Source organism: Homo sapiens, chromosome 3 (genome assembly GCF_000001405.40).
Source record: "Homo sapiens chromosome 3, GRCh38.p14 Primary Assembly".
NCBI lineage: Eukaryota > Metazoa > Chordata > Mammalia > Primates > Hominidae > Homo > Homo sapiens.
In genome coordinates this window covers 129,150,238-129,166,331 of record NC_000003.12, presented here as the reverse complement: position 1 = coordinate 129,166,331, position 16,094 = coordinate 129,150,238, and the positions used below count along the sequence as shown (strand labels likewise).

The 16,094-nt window shown below is 44.8% G+C and overlaps 2 protein-coding genes across 3 annotated transcripts in view, besides 3 other annotated features; both read left to right on the top strand.

The window, feature by feature from the left end:
• Positions 4,422 to 4,481: an enhancer, noted in NCBI's record as "active region_20505". NCBI's record gives its function as "activates an Ori minimal core promoter by ATAC-STARR-seq in GM12878 lymphoblastoid cells {active_cell/tissue: GM12878}" and the evidence as "EXISTENCE:reporter gene assay evidence [ECO:0000049][PMID:35858748]".
• Positions 4,732 to 5,071: an enhancer, noted in NCBI's record as "active region_20504". NCBI's record gives its function as "activates an Ori minimal core promoter by ATAC-STARR-seq in GM12878 lymphoblastoid cells {active_cell/tissue: GM12878}" and the evidence as "EXISTENCE:reporter gene assay evidence [ECO:0000049][PMID:35858748]".
• Positions 5,232 to 5,301: an enhancer, noted in NCBI's record as "active region_20503". NCBI's record gives its function as "activates an Ori minimal core promoter by ATAC-STARR-seq in GM12878 lymphoblastoid cells {active_cell/tissue: GM12878}" and the evidence as "EXISTENCE:reporter gene assay evidence [ECO:0000049][PMID:35858748]".
• ISY1-RAB43 (ISY1-RAB43 readthrough) overlaps positions 5,269 to 16,094 on the top strand; it is a 73,492-nt gene continuing 62,666 nt past the window's right edge. The window contains exons 1-5 of the mRNA NM_001204890.2: positions 5,269 to 5,359; positions 7,156 to 7,178; positions 7,773 to 7,824; positions 9,412 to 9,477; positions 9,657 to 9,699. Coding sequence (NP_001191819.1) covers positions 5,357 to 5,359; positions 7,156 to 7,178; positions 7,773 to 7,824; positions 9,412 to 9,477; positions 9,657 to 9,699 — 187 coding nt within the window. The 5' untranslated portion in view covers positions 5,269 to 5,356. The remainder of the gene's footprint in view (positions 5,360 to 7,155; positions 7,179 to 7,772; positions 7,825 to 9,411; positions 9,478 to 9,656; positions 9,700 to 16,094) is intronic.
• ISY1 (ISY1 spliceosome associated protein) overlaps positions 5,269 to 16,094 on the top strand; it is a 33,649-nt gene continuing 22,823 nt past the window's right edge. For both annotated transcript variants that reach the window (NM_020701.4, NM_001199469.2), the window contains exons 1-5: positions 5,269 to 5,359; positions 7,156 to 7,178; positions 7,773 to 7,824; positions 9,412 to 9,477; positions 9,657 to 9,699. In NM_020701.4, coding sequence (NP_065752.1) covers positions 5,357 to 5,359; positions 7,156 to 7,178; positions 7,773 to 7,824; positions 9,412 to 9,477; positions 9,657 to 9,699 — 187 coding nt within the window. In that variant the 5' untranslated portion in view covers positions 5,269 to 5,356. The remainder of the gene's footprint in view (positions 5,360 to 7,155; positions 7,179 to 7,772; positions 7,825 to 9,411; positions 9,478 to 9,656; positions 9,700 to 16,094) is intronic.

The following is a 16,094-nucleotide window of genomic DNA, read 5'->3' as shown; positions in this document are numbered from 1 at the left end:
TATATCTCTGTATTTCCTGGTCTGGAGGCTAAATTATTAGGTTCAGCTTAAAGTTTTTGCCTTTTTTTTTTGGACAGAGTCTTGCTATGGGCACCCAGGCTGGAGTGCAGTGGCTCAACCATAGCTCCCTGTAGCCTTCAACTCCTGGGCTCAAGGGATCCTCCCACTTTCAGCCTCCATAGTAGCTGGGACTACGGGCGTGTGCCACCAAGCCCGGCTAATTTTTTAATTTTTTGTAGAGATGAGGTCTTGCAGCCAGGCACCGTGGCTCACGCTTGTAATCCCAGCACTGGGAGGCTGAGGCGGACGGATCACCTGAGGTCAGGAGTTCAACACCAGCCTGGCCAACATGGCGAAACCCCATCTCTACCAAAAATACAAAAATTAGTGGGGTATGGTGGCAGTTGCCTGTAATCCCAGCTACTCAGGAGGCTGAGGCAGAAGAATCACTTGAACCCGGGAGGTGGAGGTTGCAGTGAGCCAAGATGGTGTCACTGCACTCTAGCTTGGGGGATAGCGCGAGACTGCCTCCAAAAAAATGAGGTCTTGCTACGTTGCCTGGGCTGCTCTCAAACTACTGGCCTGAAGTGATCCTCCTGCCTTGGCCTCCTAAAGCACAGGAATTACACGCAAGAGCCACTGTGTCCAGCCTAGTAATTCTTTAGTGGCATGCATAACTCTGTGTTTAATTTTATTCACTTAAAATTAGCCGGGTGTGGTGGCGGGCACCTGTAGTCCCAGCTACTGGGGAGGCTGAGGCAGGAGAATCGCATGAACCCGGGAGGTGGAGCTTGCAGTGAGCCGAGGTCCTGCCACTGCACTCCAGCCTGGGCCACAGAGCAAGACTCCGTCTCAAAAAAATTTTTTTTTCTTCACTTGATGAAAATATTTTTTCTAATTTGTTTTTTTGAATCAAGATCCAAATGCTCTCTATACATGTGTTTCATAATGTCTCTTAAGTGTCTTAAGTCTCTAATAGTTTCCTGTCTTTACTGAAGAAAACCTGAGGTTGATTCTATGACCTATATTTGGCTGATTGGTATCATTGTGATATTGTTTCACATGATTTTTAACCCCCGTGGTTTTTGTAAAATGGTAGATTCAGAAGGTTGATTTTACATATATATAAACCTATATACATAGGTTCTGTTTTTTTTTTTTTCTTTCTTTTTTGAGACAGAGTCTTGCCCTGTTGCCCAGGTTGGAGTGCAGTGGCGCTATCTCGGCTCATTACCTCTGATTCCCAGGTGATTCTCCTGCCTCAGCCTCCCAAGTAGCTGGGATTATAGGTGCCTTGCCACCATGGCAGCCTGGTTTTTTTTTTTTCCTTTGTGTTGGAGTCTTGCTCTGTCGCCAAGGCTGGAGTGCTGTGGGAGCGTGATCTTGGCTCACTGCAACCTCCACCTCGCAGGTTCAAGCAATATACCTGGCTAACTTTTGTATTTTTAGTAGAGGTAGGGTTTCCCCATGTTGGCCAGGCTGGTCTCGAACCCCGGACTTCAAATGATCCGCCTGCTTCGGCCTCCCAGAGTGCTGGGATTACAGGCGTGAGCCACTGCACCTGACCTCTTTTTCTTTCTTTTAGACAAGAATATATCATAGGAGATGCAGTGTGCTTACTGTTGCATCATCAAGAGGTGCAAAATCTCAGGTTTTAGTTTTGGTGATCATAATCAGTTGGTTCGGTGATTTCAGTTTTGTCCATTCATCTTGAAGTTCCCCATTAATCTTGTACTAAGTGGTTTTTACGGTTTGAGAGCCATGGATGATAGATACCCTGGAAGACTTCAGTTATAAGGAACAATTAATGGAAGAATTCTAAATCATTTAAAATGCAAGACTCCCAGGAATTAATGTGTGCTCATTCTTTTCTTTTTTCCTTCCGTCCGTCCGTCCCTCCCTCCCTCCCTCCATTTTTTTTTTTTTTTTTTTTTTTTTGACAGAGTCTTGCCCTGTTTCTCAGGCTGGAGTGCAGTGGCACAATCTCTGTTCACTGCAACCTCTGCCTCCCAGGTTCATGCAATCCTCCTGCCTCAACCCCCCTAGTAGCTGGGATTACAGGTGCCCACCACCAAGCCTGGCTAATTTTTTTTTTTTTTTTTTTTTTTTTTTTTTTTTTTTGAGATGGAATCTCACTCAGTTGCCCAGGGTGGAGTGTAGTGGTGCTATCTTGGCTCACTGCAACCTCCGCCTCCCGCGTTCAAGTGATTCTCCCACCTTAGCCTCCCAAGTAGCTGGGATTAACAGGTGTGCACCACCACGCCCAGCTGATTTTTGTATTTTCAGTGGAGGCAGGGTTTCACCGTGTTGGCCAGGCTGGTCTTGAACTCCTGACCTCAGGTGATCCACCCACCTTGGCTTCCCAAAGTGCTGGGATTACAGGCATGAGCCACCGCACCCGGCCCTATCTCAAGCTTCTTAACTGCACCTGCTAAATCCCTTTTGCCATGTAAGGTAACGTACCAACGGTTTCAGAGATTAGGATGTGGACATTTTGGGGGGCTGTTTTTCTGCCTGCAATACCTGCTCTCCAGTGAATCCATGTTTAGTGGAGGACAACATTTGAGGCACTTACATGGATGCTAGGGGACATATATGTGAATGTTAGGCAAAAGTGCTGCCTGAAGCCAGAAAATACCTTTTTAATATTAGTTTTTTTCACCCAATTTGATGTGTTATTGTATCCAACTTAAAATACATGAACTAATAAAATCAGATTTTTTTCACCTGTGTGGTTGCTGTTCAGGAATGTAGGCTCAATGTTGTCTCACTTTAGCATCTGTATGTGAGATTTTCTAATTTTTGTAATCCGATGTAAATCACAGCAGCTTTGTTGGCCAAATCCAGCCTGCTGGCCAGTTTACAACTGCTGCTTTAGGATTAGTGATGTGATCCAATGACAGATCATAGTTGGGATTGGAATCCCGGATGTTTAAACTGTCTCAAAGGGTAAGTAGGCATCAACCAGTCAGATTAGTCAAGTGGCAGGGGGGATAAAGGACGGGGTGCTGCAGGCAAAAGGAGCATCATGAAGAAAGGCAAGATCAGTGTGAGCAGAGAAAGGAAGGCCATTTAGCAGACTGGCAAGATAGGTCTGATTCTTACTGGTTGCAACCCTAAACAATTTTACATAAATCTTCACATAACTAAAGATTTAAGTGGGCCGGAGGCAAGGCCTTATTCTCATCCACCCAATGATGTCACCAAACACTAAATCTTGTCTCCTGAGCTCTAAAGTGGCTGACAGTTGGTATTGCCTTTTGTCTGACATCCAGCAGGATCTATTTTCTCCAGCATTGCAAGCAGATCTCAAGACTCATTCTGACTAGGTCAGCTTGGGTCTTAAACCCACCAGTCACTATGCCTAGGGAGACTGGATGGATGGATTAGCTTAATCTAGTGCTTGATCCATACTTAAAGCTGGGGATGCAGTTGCCTTCCCCACAACCAGAGGGCTCCCCAAATGGAACTGAGATAAGTGGGTAGGGGGAGCAGATGCTAGGACAACATAGCTAACACCTCTTGAATCCTGCTAATATGTGATCTCTGCATCCTAGAGTCAGGGACGTAATGGATAAAGGTGGTATGGACATGTTGAGAAGGCCTCATTTGAGTGAGGAATGACCCTGCTTGTTTCAGATCAGCTATTTAAGGTAAAAGTGAAGCTGCTTGAACAAAAGACCCCCAAATGCAGAGGCCTTAACAAGACATGTTTTTATTTTTCTCATTTTGCAGAGCTCAGTTTTCCAGAGCTGGGAGGGGGGGAACTCTGGCATCTTCACAATACTTCCATTTCTGAATTCAGGTTGGCTGATCCCATGGACACCTCTCAGCAGAGAAAGGAAAAGGGCAAGGGATTATATTTTTGTCATGGCTTCATCTAAGTGACACACATTCCTTTGACTCGATTCTTATTGGCCATAATCATAAACCAGACAGGTGGGAGGATGGGGTCTGTAGTGGGTGGTCATATGCCCACTTAAAACTTGTCACATTTCAGGTATGAGATTGTGCTGACTATTCTAAGTACTTTTCCTGTCCTGTCTGATCCTCAACCACATGTCAGCTGCTTCTCTCTTTGGCTTGTGCCTCCTGGCTGCTGCTAGGGTGCCCATCACTAGTTAGGTCCCGTGGTGGAGGGAGTCCCTGCAGCTGAGGCACCATGCTTGAAAGGGGAAAGCGGCTGTAACCGAATTTGCTGCGGGCCCTCACCTGAATTCCCCACCACAGTTCCCCTCATTGCTGACACCATGCGGGAGTAACCATCAGAACGTCTCCTACCAGGGACCTCTCCTGTCTTCCTGGTCTTTGTCTAACGATCTTCTGGTCCCAGCGATGTGCTCAGGACAGTGACCGCACTTCTCCAACCACCCTCCTCCCCTAAGTGGCACTTTTTGCCTGGAACTTAAATTTTTATTTTAAAAGAGGATGACCTCAAGCATCGTCCAGCTCTGAAAGGCCCCGCGATTCCAACAGACCAGCTCAGAAAAACTAGAAATGGCCCTAAGAGGTGACAAGGAAAAGTGAAGGAGTTTACGAAGCCCGGCCAGCTCCAACTCCTGCAGGACGCACACTCCAGCTCCCACTAGGGGAGCTGTCGGGGCCGTAGATCCCTCGTCGCAGAGATGAGGTCGAGTAATTTCCAAAAGGGGATATTTGCTCTCACAGAGGAACCAAGGAAGCCGGTGGGATTAGAGTAGCGGCAATCACTCAGCCTTCCACATAACCGCGCCCAGCGCCGCCTGCTCCCGCAGTACCAATAGTGAACACAAGACATTTAGTACTCCTGTTTCCAGAACTAAGACCCGCCGCCTGGGCTGAGTCCGAAAACCGCCAGTCCCTCTGCGAAAGCCCCATCACACGTCTGCGTGTGATGACGCCGCGTGCCGGCGCTACCGGAAGACCGCCTGACGGAGCGCCAGAATTTTCTCTCCCAATCCCCGGCCGGATCTCCCTTTCACTTCCGGTCCTCCCTTTCACTTCCGGTCCCTTTCTTTTACGTTTCCGACAAAACATCAGGCTCTGTGGGCAGTTAGAATCCTCAGTTCCTGCGAGCGTCGGCTTCGTCCGGGCACTTCCAGTACTCTCATTCACTTCCTGTCCCTTTCTTTTACGTTTCCGACAAAACAGTGTCTGTGGGCAGTTAGAATCTTCAGTTTCTGTGAGCGTCCGCTTCGTCTGGGCACTTCCGGTACTCCCATTCAGTTCCGGTCCCTGTCTTTTACGTTTCCGGCAAAACATCAGTGTCTGTGGGTAGTTGGAATCTTCAGTTCCTGTGAGCGTCGGCGTCTTCTGGGCCTGTGGAGTTTCTTGGACAGGGGCCGCGGGGCTCCAGGACGGCGCCCTTAGCGACACCATGGTGAGTAGGGTGGGCGGGTGAGGGAGCGAGTGGATGGGCGGGCGGGCGGGGGGGCGCCCAGTCCACCTGGGGCGCTCATTCGGTAGAGGCTCAGACGTGCAGTGCTGAGGGCTTCAAGTTCCTTGGTGTAACGAGGGGATTCTCTTCCTGCCTCCATTAGCTGTCACAAATTGGAAAACTGGAAACTCGGGAGCCGCGTTACTGTCCTGGACAGTGTCTTAATCCCGATGAAGCTCTTTAGGTTAACCTGAGGGAAATTAAGACACAGAGAAGCACTAGGTCCCGCTCCGAGTTACGGTGCATAGTGTGGGCCGGCTGTTTGTCCCTAAATACCACAGAGAAGATTAAGAGCAGTTGTGACTATATGTTTCTGGGATTATTTCATTTATGTCCGTTCTCAGTCTGCTCCATAATATACAGACATCACGAGGGTAGGGTCTTTTCCTTATTGCTTCCTTAATGTCTGACACAGAGTCGTTGCAGATGTTCAATAACTATTGAATAAATGAATGGCATAGACAGAAAGTGTTCTATGAGGGTGTGCTCTCTGTGGTCTGGCGTCATTTGTTGGTTTCTTCATTTCTTCAAGAAGCATTTACGACGTGTAAATTTAAGAATACACGTAGTGCCGGTACAAAGATGATTGGTACCGGCACTACGTAATATTGGCTACTGTATTATTTTCATTAAGTGAAGCCCCTATAAGAAACACTGGGCGTCATGGTTAGGTTATAAGAGATATATTGGAAGCCATTGTAGATTGATGAGCACAAGCTCCCAAGAAAAAGAGAGAAACCAGTGGAATAGAAGTAGCCGTTTCGCGGGAGGCTGAGGCAGGAGAATGGCGTGAACCCGGGAGGCGGAGTTTGCAGTGAGCCGAGATCGCGCCACTGCACTCCAGCCTGGGCGACAGAGCGAGACTCCGTCTCAAAGAAAAAAAAAAAAAGTAGTAGCCGTTTCTGTGAGAAGGTATATCCCAAATTACTGCGGTGTTTGCCTATCTACCAAGCATTTGCCAAGTTTGTTTCTGTGTCAGTTGAAGGGGAGAATCTCAAAAGAGATTTAAATTGAACTCGATTTTGCTGAGTGTCTATAAATTGCATGCCTGGTGTATTTGTCTCATGAAGATATCGTGACAGCTCTGTAAGATGAGGTATGATCTCTATTGTAAAGATGGGGAAACTGAGTGATAGAGAGACTACTTCTCACAGATGGTAAGTGGAAGAACTGGGAATGTAAGTCCCTGACTTAGCCAGGACTCTTTCTACCTAGACTACAACCCAGAAAACTCGTTCTCTGTTGGACACTGTGTTTCAGGGATAATTGAGTTGACATTTAGTGTGACAGAACTTACATAAAACTTTACGAAAGGCAGTCTTCAGACTTATTTTCCCCAAATACCACTGGCAGGGAACAGGCAATTGTGATGCTGGGTGTTAAATGCCATGGTAAGTATAATCCTTGATAGAGGACACCAGCCTAACTGGGAAGAAGGGGTCACAGAATAATGTTCTGGGTGGTCATGACACAAGTAAAATTTGAAGGAAGAATAATGCAAGTTAGCCAGATACAAGGTGTTAGGGTCAGTGGAGGAGTAAAGATTTTAAGTAGAGGGAGGAGCAGCCTTGGTCACAGGATTTGGACATCTTTTGATTTTTGTTTATTGTTGTTCATATAGTACTTCAAGTGGTTTGCTTGTGATTGTATTCTTGTAAAACTTTTCACTAAAAAGTAAAGGGCAAGAAAAAAATATATTTTAAACATGGACATTTTTCTTCTCTTTTCTCTCTTTCCAGGCCCGAAATGCAGAAAAGGCCATGTAAGTATCAACTTGTTTTTGGCTGTAAATTTTTTGTAACTTAAAAACCACCATGTAACTCTTTGTGTATTTCCTCTTTTTGGTATCTGAGCCTTTTGAGAAGCTGTTTCTTTCTTTACATATGTTATGTTCTTACATATGCAAAAACATTCCTGTTTTTGCCCATTTGTTTTCTCCATTTATGTGTTTTCTCACAGTTTCCAGAACTTAAACACTGGATGAACATTTGTTCACCTGTGGTTGGTGCAGGGGTTGTGAGAGTGACAGCCAGGGAACACACCATGATGTTAGTCTTTTAACACCTGGATGTATTGCTTATCACAGTGGTCTGATAAGTAGAGTTTCCCACAGTCCTTATGTGTAGTGTAAGTAAAATAGATTCTTGGGTGTTCAGGAATACAAATTGCCTCATAATTCCTACTCCTGAGAACATGGAAATCCCTAACTATTCTGTGGTTTCTTAATTACAATATTTGTATATGAATGACATTAAATATGGTCATAAGCAGATCTACCCCATACAGGAACATGGGTAATGAGAAGTCTGTATGAGCAGGATCTAATGGAGTCTTTTATCTTTTATATCGCTGGTAGGACGGCCTTAGCAAGATTTCGCCAGGCTCAGCTGGAAGAGGGAAAAGTGAAGGTTGGTGTAAATCTTCCTCATGAATTGTAAAGTATCAAGAATAAATGCAGGCTGGGTGCAGTGGCTCATGCCTGTAATCCCAATACTTGGGGAGGCTGAGGTGGGTGGATCACTTGAGTCTAGGAGTTTGAGACCAGTCTGGGCAACATGGCAAAATCCCTTCTTTACAAAAAATACAAAGATTAGCCTAGCCAGGCATGGTGGCGCCTGCCTGTAGTCCCAGCTACTGGGGAGGCTGAGGCAGGAGAATCACTTGAATGCAGGAGTCTTACACTGCAGGGAGCCATGATCATGCCACTGCACTCCAGCCTGGGTGACACAGTGAGAACCTGTCAAAAAAAAAAAAAAAAGTAGGGTGCAGTGACTCACGCCTGTAATCCCAGCACTTTGAGAGGCTGAGGGGGGTGGATCACTTGAGGACAGGAGTTTGAGGCCAGCCTGGCTAACATGGTGAAACCCCATCTCTACTAAAAATACAAAAATTAGCTGGGCATGGTGGCAGGCACCTGTAATCCCAGCTACTTGAGGCTGAGGCAGAAGAATCACTTGAGCCCTGGAGACGGAGGTTGCAGTGCACCGAGAGCGCGCTGCTGCACTCCAGGTCAACAGACTTCAAACTTCAGAATTTCCTATTTCTTATCTGTACCTGCTGACGCTCTTGAGAGTCTGTACACTTGAATTCCAATACCTCCCCATAGCTGAGGCAGGGTGATGGATCTGGCTGCTTGTTTTTCAGTTTCTTCTGTATTATGATGACTGGGCCCGGCCCTTTTTTTTTTTTTTTTTTTTTTGAGATGGACGCTCTGTCGCTCAGGCTGGAGTGCAGTGGCGTGATCTTGGCTCACTGTAACCTCCAACTCCCTGGTTCAAGCAATTCCCCTGCCTCAGCCTCCTGAGTAGCTGGAATTACAGGCACATATCACCACACCCAGCTAATTTTTTTGTATTTTTAGTAGAGATGGGGTTTCACCATGTTGGCCAGACTGGTCTCAAACTCCAGGCCTCAGGCAATCTGCCTGCCTTGACCTCCCAAAGTGGGAATTACAGAGATGAACCGCCGTGCCCAGCCTGATGACTGGGTCCTTTATTACTCCAGCTCTAATATTGAATAGGGACTGGAGTATGATGTGGAGAACAGCTGTAAGCTGAAACCGGTAAATTATTTCATTTCTTAGAGACTCACCCAAATTAGAGATAATATATACCATTCTTTGGATTTTTTTTTTAATTTTATATACGCACATGTATATGAATACACCCATATTTATGTATGTTTGTTTTAAACACTGATAGACATTGTTTCTTAAGGTACTATAAATATGCCATGAAATAGCTATAACCTAGTTTGGCTGTCTCTCTATTGCAGGACAGTTAAGTTCTTTCCAATATTAAATACAATGCAATCAATGTTTTTCCTAAGGAGAGATTGTAGAATGAGGTTTAAGGCTTGATGAGGATCATCTGGAATGAAAACTTCAAATGTTTTTAGGCCATTAGATGATTTAGGCTTAAGGCCTGAATCAGTTCTGAATGTTGTTTGAAACTTGTAAATAGTATAATGGAAATGTGTTATTTTTTTCTCCTTAGGAACGAAGACCCTTTCTGGCCTCAGAATGTACTGAACTGCCTAAAGCTGAGAAGTGGAGACGACAGGTATGTTCTGGGTAAATCTGATTTCAGTAGAAGTAACAAGTCTCTCATTTCTTCTTATTATCTAAATGACTGTTAGACCAAAAGTCTAAGTATTTTTAAATACTAATTTTGAATTATAGTTTTTCTGTGCTTTCTAACATATTCAAAAATTATTAAAATGTATTACTTTTTTTTAATAGATCATTGGAGAGATCTCTAAAAAAGTGGCTCAGATTCAGAATGGTAAGCAAACTTGTTCCTTTAAAGTGCTTGATTCTCAAATCCACAATTAGACTTGAGGACTTCAATACTCCTTTCAAAATAATCAATAGAGCAAGTAGATAGTAAATCAGTAAGGACATAGAAGAGCCAATCAATACGATCAGTCAGTTTGATGTAGTTGAAAGTTGTAGAATACTCTGTCTCACAACACTGTACCTAACAATAAAGAATACGTCATTTTTTTTTTTTTTTTTTGAGACAGAGTCTCACTCTGTCACCCAGGCTGGAGTGCAGTGGTGCGATCTCGGCTCACTGCAAGCTCAGCCTCCTGGGTTCACGCCATTCTCCTGCCTCAGCCTCCCGAATAGCTGGGACTACAGGTGCCCACAACCACGCCCGGCTAATTTTTTTGTACTTTCAGTAGAGACAGGGTTTCACCATGTTAGCCAGGATGGTCTTGATCTCCTGACCTTGCAATTCGCCCGCCTCAGCCTCCCAAAGTGCTGGGATTATAGGTATGAGCCACTATGCCCGGCCTAATACATGGTCTTTTTTAAGAGCACGTGGAACATTCACCAAAATAAAACATATTCTGGGCTGCAGAACAAATGTTAGCAAATTTAAAATATTTGAGGCCGGGCGCAGTAGCTCACGCCTGTAATCCCAGCACTTTGGGAGGCCGAGGAGGGAGGATCACCTAAGGTCTGGGGTTTGAGACCAGCCTGACCAACATGGAGAAACCCCACCTCTACTGAAAATACAAAATTGGCTGGACGTGGTAGCGCATGCTTGTAATCCCAGCTACTTGGGAGGCTGAGGCAGGAGAATCGCTTGAACCTAACGGGCGGAGGTTACAGTGAGCCAAGATCACACTATTGCATTCCAGCTTCAGCAACAAGAGTGAAACTCCATCTCAAAAAAAAAAAAAATTGAAATTACACAGAGTATTTTCTCTGATTATAACAACAGATTCATATCTGAAAAATTCCTAAATATTTGGAAATTAAACAACATATTTGTAAATAATTCATGTGTCTGAGAGGAAACAGCAAAGAAATTAGAAGATATTTTGAATTTAATTAGAGTGAAAACGTAATGTCAAAATTTAGGGGATGAAAAAATTTATGGGATATAGTGCTTAGATAAAAATGTATAGCACTGGCCTGGTGCGGTGGCTCACACCTGTAATCCCAGCACTTTGGGAGGCCGAGGCGGGTGGATCACGAGGTTAGGAGATAAGAGACTATCCTGGCCAACATGGTGAAACCCTGTCTCTACTAAAAATACAAATATTAGCTGGGTGTGGTGTCATGTGCCTGTAATCCCAGCTACTCAGGAGGCTGAAGCAGGAGAATCGCTTGAACCCGGGAGGCGGAGGTTGTAGTGAGCCAAGATCGTGCCACTGCACTCCAGGACTCCATCTCAAAACAAACAAACAAACAAACAAACAAAAAATACATATATAGCACTGAAATAATAGAAAATTATGAAAGTTTTCAAATCAGTGATCTAAGCTTCTACCCTGTGAAATTAGAAAAGAAGAGCAAATTAAACCCAAAGCAAGCAGAAGGAAGGAAATAGTAAAGATAAGAAATCAATAGCATTGAAAACAAGATGAATAGAGAAAACAGACCAACAGCTGGTTCTTTGAAAAGATCAATAAAATTGCTGGGCGTGGTGGCTCACGCCTGTAATCCCAGCACTTTGGGAGGCCGAGGCGGGCGGATGACGAGGTCAGGAGATCGAGACCATCCTGGCTAACACGGTGAAACCCCGTCTTTACTAAAAATACAAAAAATTAGCTGGATGTGGTGGCAGGCGCCTGTAATCCCAGCTACTTGGGAGGCTGAGGCAGGAGAATGGCATGAACCCAAGAGGTGGAGCTTGCAGTGAGCTGAGATCGCGCCACTGCACTCCAGCCTGGGAGACAGAGCGAGACTCTGTCTCAAAAAAAAAAAAAAGATCAATAAAATTGATAAACTTCTAGTCAGACTGACCAAGAAAAAATATACACAAATTAAGAATATTAGGAACCAAATTGGGAATATTACTATAGAATCTATATACATTAAAAGGATAATAAGGAAATATTACAGACAATGTTATGCCCATAAATTTGACAACTTAGATGAAATAGGTCAATTCCTTACAAGACACAAACTGCCAAAGCTCACTTAAGAGAAGTGGTCCTTTTTTTTTTTTTTTTTTTTTTTTGAGATGGAGTCTTGCTCTGTCACCCAGGCTAGAGTGCAGTGGCGAGTTCTCGGCTCACTGCACTGGGTTCAAGCAATTTCTCCCTGGGTTCACCTCCCTGGGTTCAAGCAATTTCTCCTGCCTCAGCCTCCCGAGTAGCTGGGATTACAGGCACCCTCCATCATACCTGGCTAATTTTTTTTTTTTTTTTTTTTTTTGAGACAGAGTCTCGCTCTGTCACCCAGGCTGGAGTGCAGTGGCGCCATCTCAGCTCACTGCAGGCTCCGCCCCCCGGGGTTCACGCCATTCTCCTGCCTCAGCCTCCCGCGTAGCTGGGACTACAGGCGCCCACCCCCTCGCCTGGCTGATCTTTTGTATTTTTAGTAGAGATGGGGTTTCACCGTGTTAGCCAGGATGGTCTCGATCTCCTGACCTCGTGATCCGCCCGCCTCGGCCTCCCAAAGTGCTGGGATTACAGGCGTGAGCCATGGCGCCCAGCCAAATTTTTGTAATTTTTTAGTAGAGACAGGGTTTCACCATGTTGAACAGGCTGGTCTTCAATTCCTGACCTCAGGGGATCCACCCTCCTCGGCCTTCCAAAGTGCTAGGATTACAGGTGTAAGCCACAGTGCCTGGCCGAGAAATAGTTCATTTTGTTTTGTTTTGTTTTGTTTTGAGACAGAGTCTTGCTCTGTTGCCCACACTGGAGTGCAGTGGCATGATCTTGGCTCACCGCAGCCTCTGCCTCCCGGGTTCAAGCGAATCTCCTGCCTCAGCCTCCTGAGTAGCTGGGCCTACAGGCGCCCACCACCATGCCCAGCTAATTTTTTTTTGTATTTTTAGTAGAGACGGGGTTTCACCATGTTAGCCAGGATGGTCTCGATCTCCTGACCTCATGACCTGCCCACCTCACCCTCCCGTAGTGCTGGGATTACAGGCTTGAGCCACTGCGCCCAGCCCTGAAGAAATTTTTGATTGTTACAACTGGAAGGGTGCTACTGGCACATAGTGGGTAGAGGCCAGGGATGTGCTAAGCCTCCTACAAATAATTATCCTAAATAAACTACAGTGTCAATAATTCTACTGTTTAGAGACACAGTTCAAAAAGAAATGGTAAACCTGAGTAGTCCTATATCTGTTAAAGAAATTGGGGCTGTGCACCGTGGCTCACGCCTGTAACTGCAGCACTTTGGGAAGTGGAGGTGGGTGGATCACCTGAGGTTAGGAGTTCAAGACCAGGCTGGCCAACATGGTGAAACCCTGTCTCTATGAAAAATACAAAAATTAGCCAGGCATGGTGACGCATGCGTGTAATCCTAGCTACTTGGGAGGCTGAGGCAGGAGAATCACTTTAACCCAGGAGGCAGAGGTTGCAGTGAGCCAAGATTGGGCCACTGCACTCCAGCCTGGGTGACAGAGCGACAGTCCATCTCAAAAAAAAAAAAAAAAAAGATGGAAAGAAATTGAATTCATTTCTAAATACCTTTCTAAAAGAAAATTCCAGACCCAGATGGCTTCACTGGTCAGTTCTACTAAATATTTAAGGAAGAAATAATACCAACTCCACATAGTTTCCTCAAGAAAATGGAAGAAGAGGGAACACTTTGTAACTCATTTTGTGAATTTTAGTATCAGCATTACCCTGATGCTAAAATCAGAAAAAGATATTATGAGAAATAACTACTGACAATATTTCCTATGAATATAGACAAAAATCTTTAATGAAACATTAGCATATCAAACCTAGCAATGTATGGCCGGGCGCGGTGGCTCACGCCTGTAATTCCAGCACTTTGGGAGGCCAAGGTGGGTGGATCGTGAGATCAGGAGATCGAAACCATCCTGGCTAACACACGGTGAAACCCCGTCTCTACTAAAAATACAAAAAAATTAGCCGGGCGTGGTGGCAGGTGCCTGTAGTCCCAGCTTCCTGGGAGGCTGAGGCAGGCGAATCGCTGGAACCCGGGAGGCGGAGCTTGCAGTGAGCCGAGATTGCACCACTGCACTCCAGCCTGGGCGACAGAGCGAGACTCCGTCTCAAAAAAAAAAACAAAACCTAGCAATGTATAAAAAGGATAATACATCACAACTAAGGAGGATTTATTCTGGAAAAACATAGTAGATTCAGCATTCAAAAATAAGTTAATTCACTGTGTCATTCCAAAGAAGAAAAACTGTATGATCTAAGTAGATGCAGAAAAAGTATTTGACAAAATTAGACGTTTATTCATGATAAGAACTCAGCAAACTGGGAATAAAAGGGAACTTTTTACCCTGATAAAGCACTTCTTTTTTTTTTCTGAGACGGAGTTTTGCTCTTGTCACCCATGCTGGAGTGCAGTGGTGCAATTTCAGCTCAATGCAACCTCCGCCTCTCAGGTTCAAGTGATTCTCCTGCCTCAGCCTCCCGAGTAGCTGGGATTACAGGTGCCAGCCACCACGCCTAGCTAATTTTTGTATTTTCAGTAGAGACAGGGTTTTACCATGTTGGCAAGGCTGGTCTCGAATTCCCAACCTCAGGTGATCCACCCACCTTGGCCTCCCTAAGAGCTGGGATTACAGGCATGAGCCACCACACCCGGCCCTGATAAAGTACTTATAAGAAACCCATAGCCAATAAACTATTTAATGGTGAAGGATTGAATGCTTTCCTCTTAAGATCAGGAACGAGGCAAAGACATCCACTCTCACCACTATATTCAGCGTGATGCTGGAAATCCTAGCCAGTGCGGTAAAGTAAAAAAAGGAAATAAAAGGCATAAAGATTAGAAAATAATAAGTAAAACTGTCTTTATTGTAACATAGAAAATCCTATATAATTTTCTTTTTTTTGAGATGGAGTCTCGCTCTGTCACCCAGGCTGAAGTACAGTGGTGCAGTCTCGGCTCACTGCAACCTCTGTCCCCTGGGTTCAAGCGATTCTCCTGCCTCAGCCTCCTGAGTAGCTGGGACTACAGGCATGTGCCACCATGCCCGGCCAATTTTTGTATTTTTACTAGAGACAGAGTTTCGCCATGTTGGCCAGCCTGGTCTCGAACTCCCAACCTCAGGTGATCCACCCGCCTCTGCCTCCCAAAGTACTGGGATTACAGGCATGAGCCACCATGCCCACCTAAAATCCTACATAATTTTCTATGTAGAAAATCCCAAGGAACCTACAGAAAGACTTCTAAAATGGATAAGTGAATTTATCAAGATCACAGAAAAGAAGTTCAATATACAGAATTATATATATACACACACACCCCATATATATTCATATATATATTTTTATATATTTATATATATTTTTATATATTTATATATTTTATATATTTATATATATATATATTTTTTTTTGAGACAGAGTCTTCCTCTGTCACCCACGCTGGAGTGCAGTGGCCCAGTCTCGGCTCACTGCAACCTCTGCCTCCCAGGTTCAAGCTATTCTGCCTCAGCCTCTCGAGTAGCTGGGACTACAGGCATCCACCACCACACCTGGCTGATTTTTGTATTTTTAGTAGAGACAGAGTTTCACCATGTTGGCTAGGCTGGTCTGGAACTTCTGGGCTCAAGTGATATCTGCCTGCTTCAGCCTCCCAAAGTACTGGGATTACAGGTGTGAGCCACCATGCTCAGCTTCAAAATTATATTTTTATATACTAACATTGAACAGCTGGAAATACAACATTTTTTTAAAGTGCTATTTACAAAAGCACCAAAACACAAGAAATAACTTAGGTATAAATCTTTTTAATTTTAATTTTATTTATTTATTTTTTTGAGATGGAGTCTTGCTCTGGCGTCCAGGCTGGAGTGCAGCTCACTGCAAGCTCCGCCCCCCAGGTTCATGCCATTCTCCTGCCTCAGCCTCCCGAGTAGCTGGGACTACAGGCGCCCACCACCACGTCTGGCTAATTTTTTTTGTATTTTTAGTAGAGACGAGGTTTCACCATGTTAGCCAGGATGGTCTCGATCTCCTGACCTCGTGATCCACCCGCCTTGGCCTCCCAAAGTGCTGGGATTACAGGCATGAGCCACCGCGCCTGGCCATACTTAGGTATAAATCTAACAAAATACAGTCAGGATCTGTATGCTGAAAACTAGGATGCGATGACTAAAGAAACCAAAGAAGACCCGAATGAATGGGGAGATACACTGTGCTGTTGTATGGGAAGACTTAACACAGTACAGATGTTAATTCTTTCTCTCTTCCAATATATCACAATCAAAATTCTAACAGG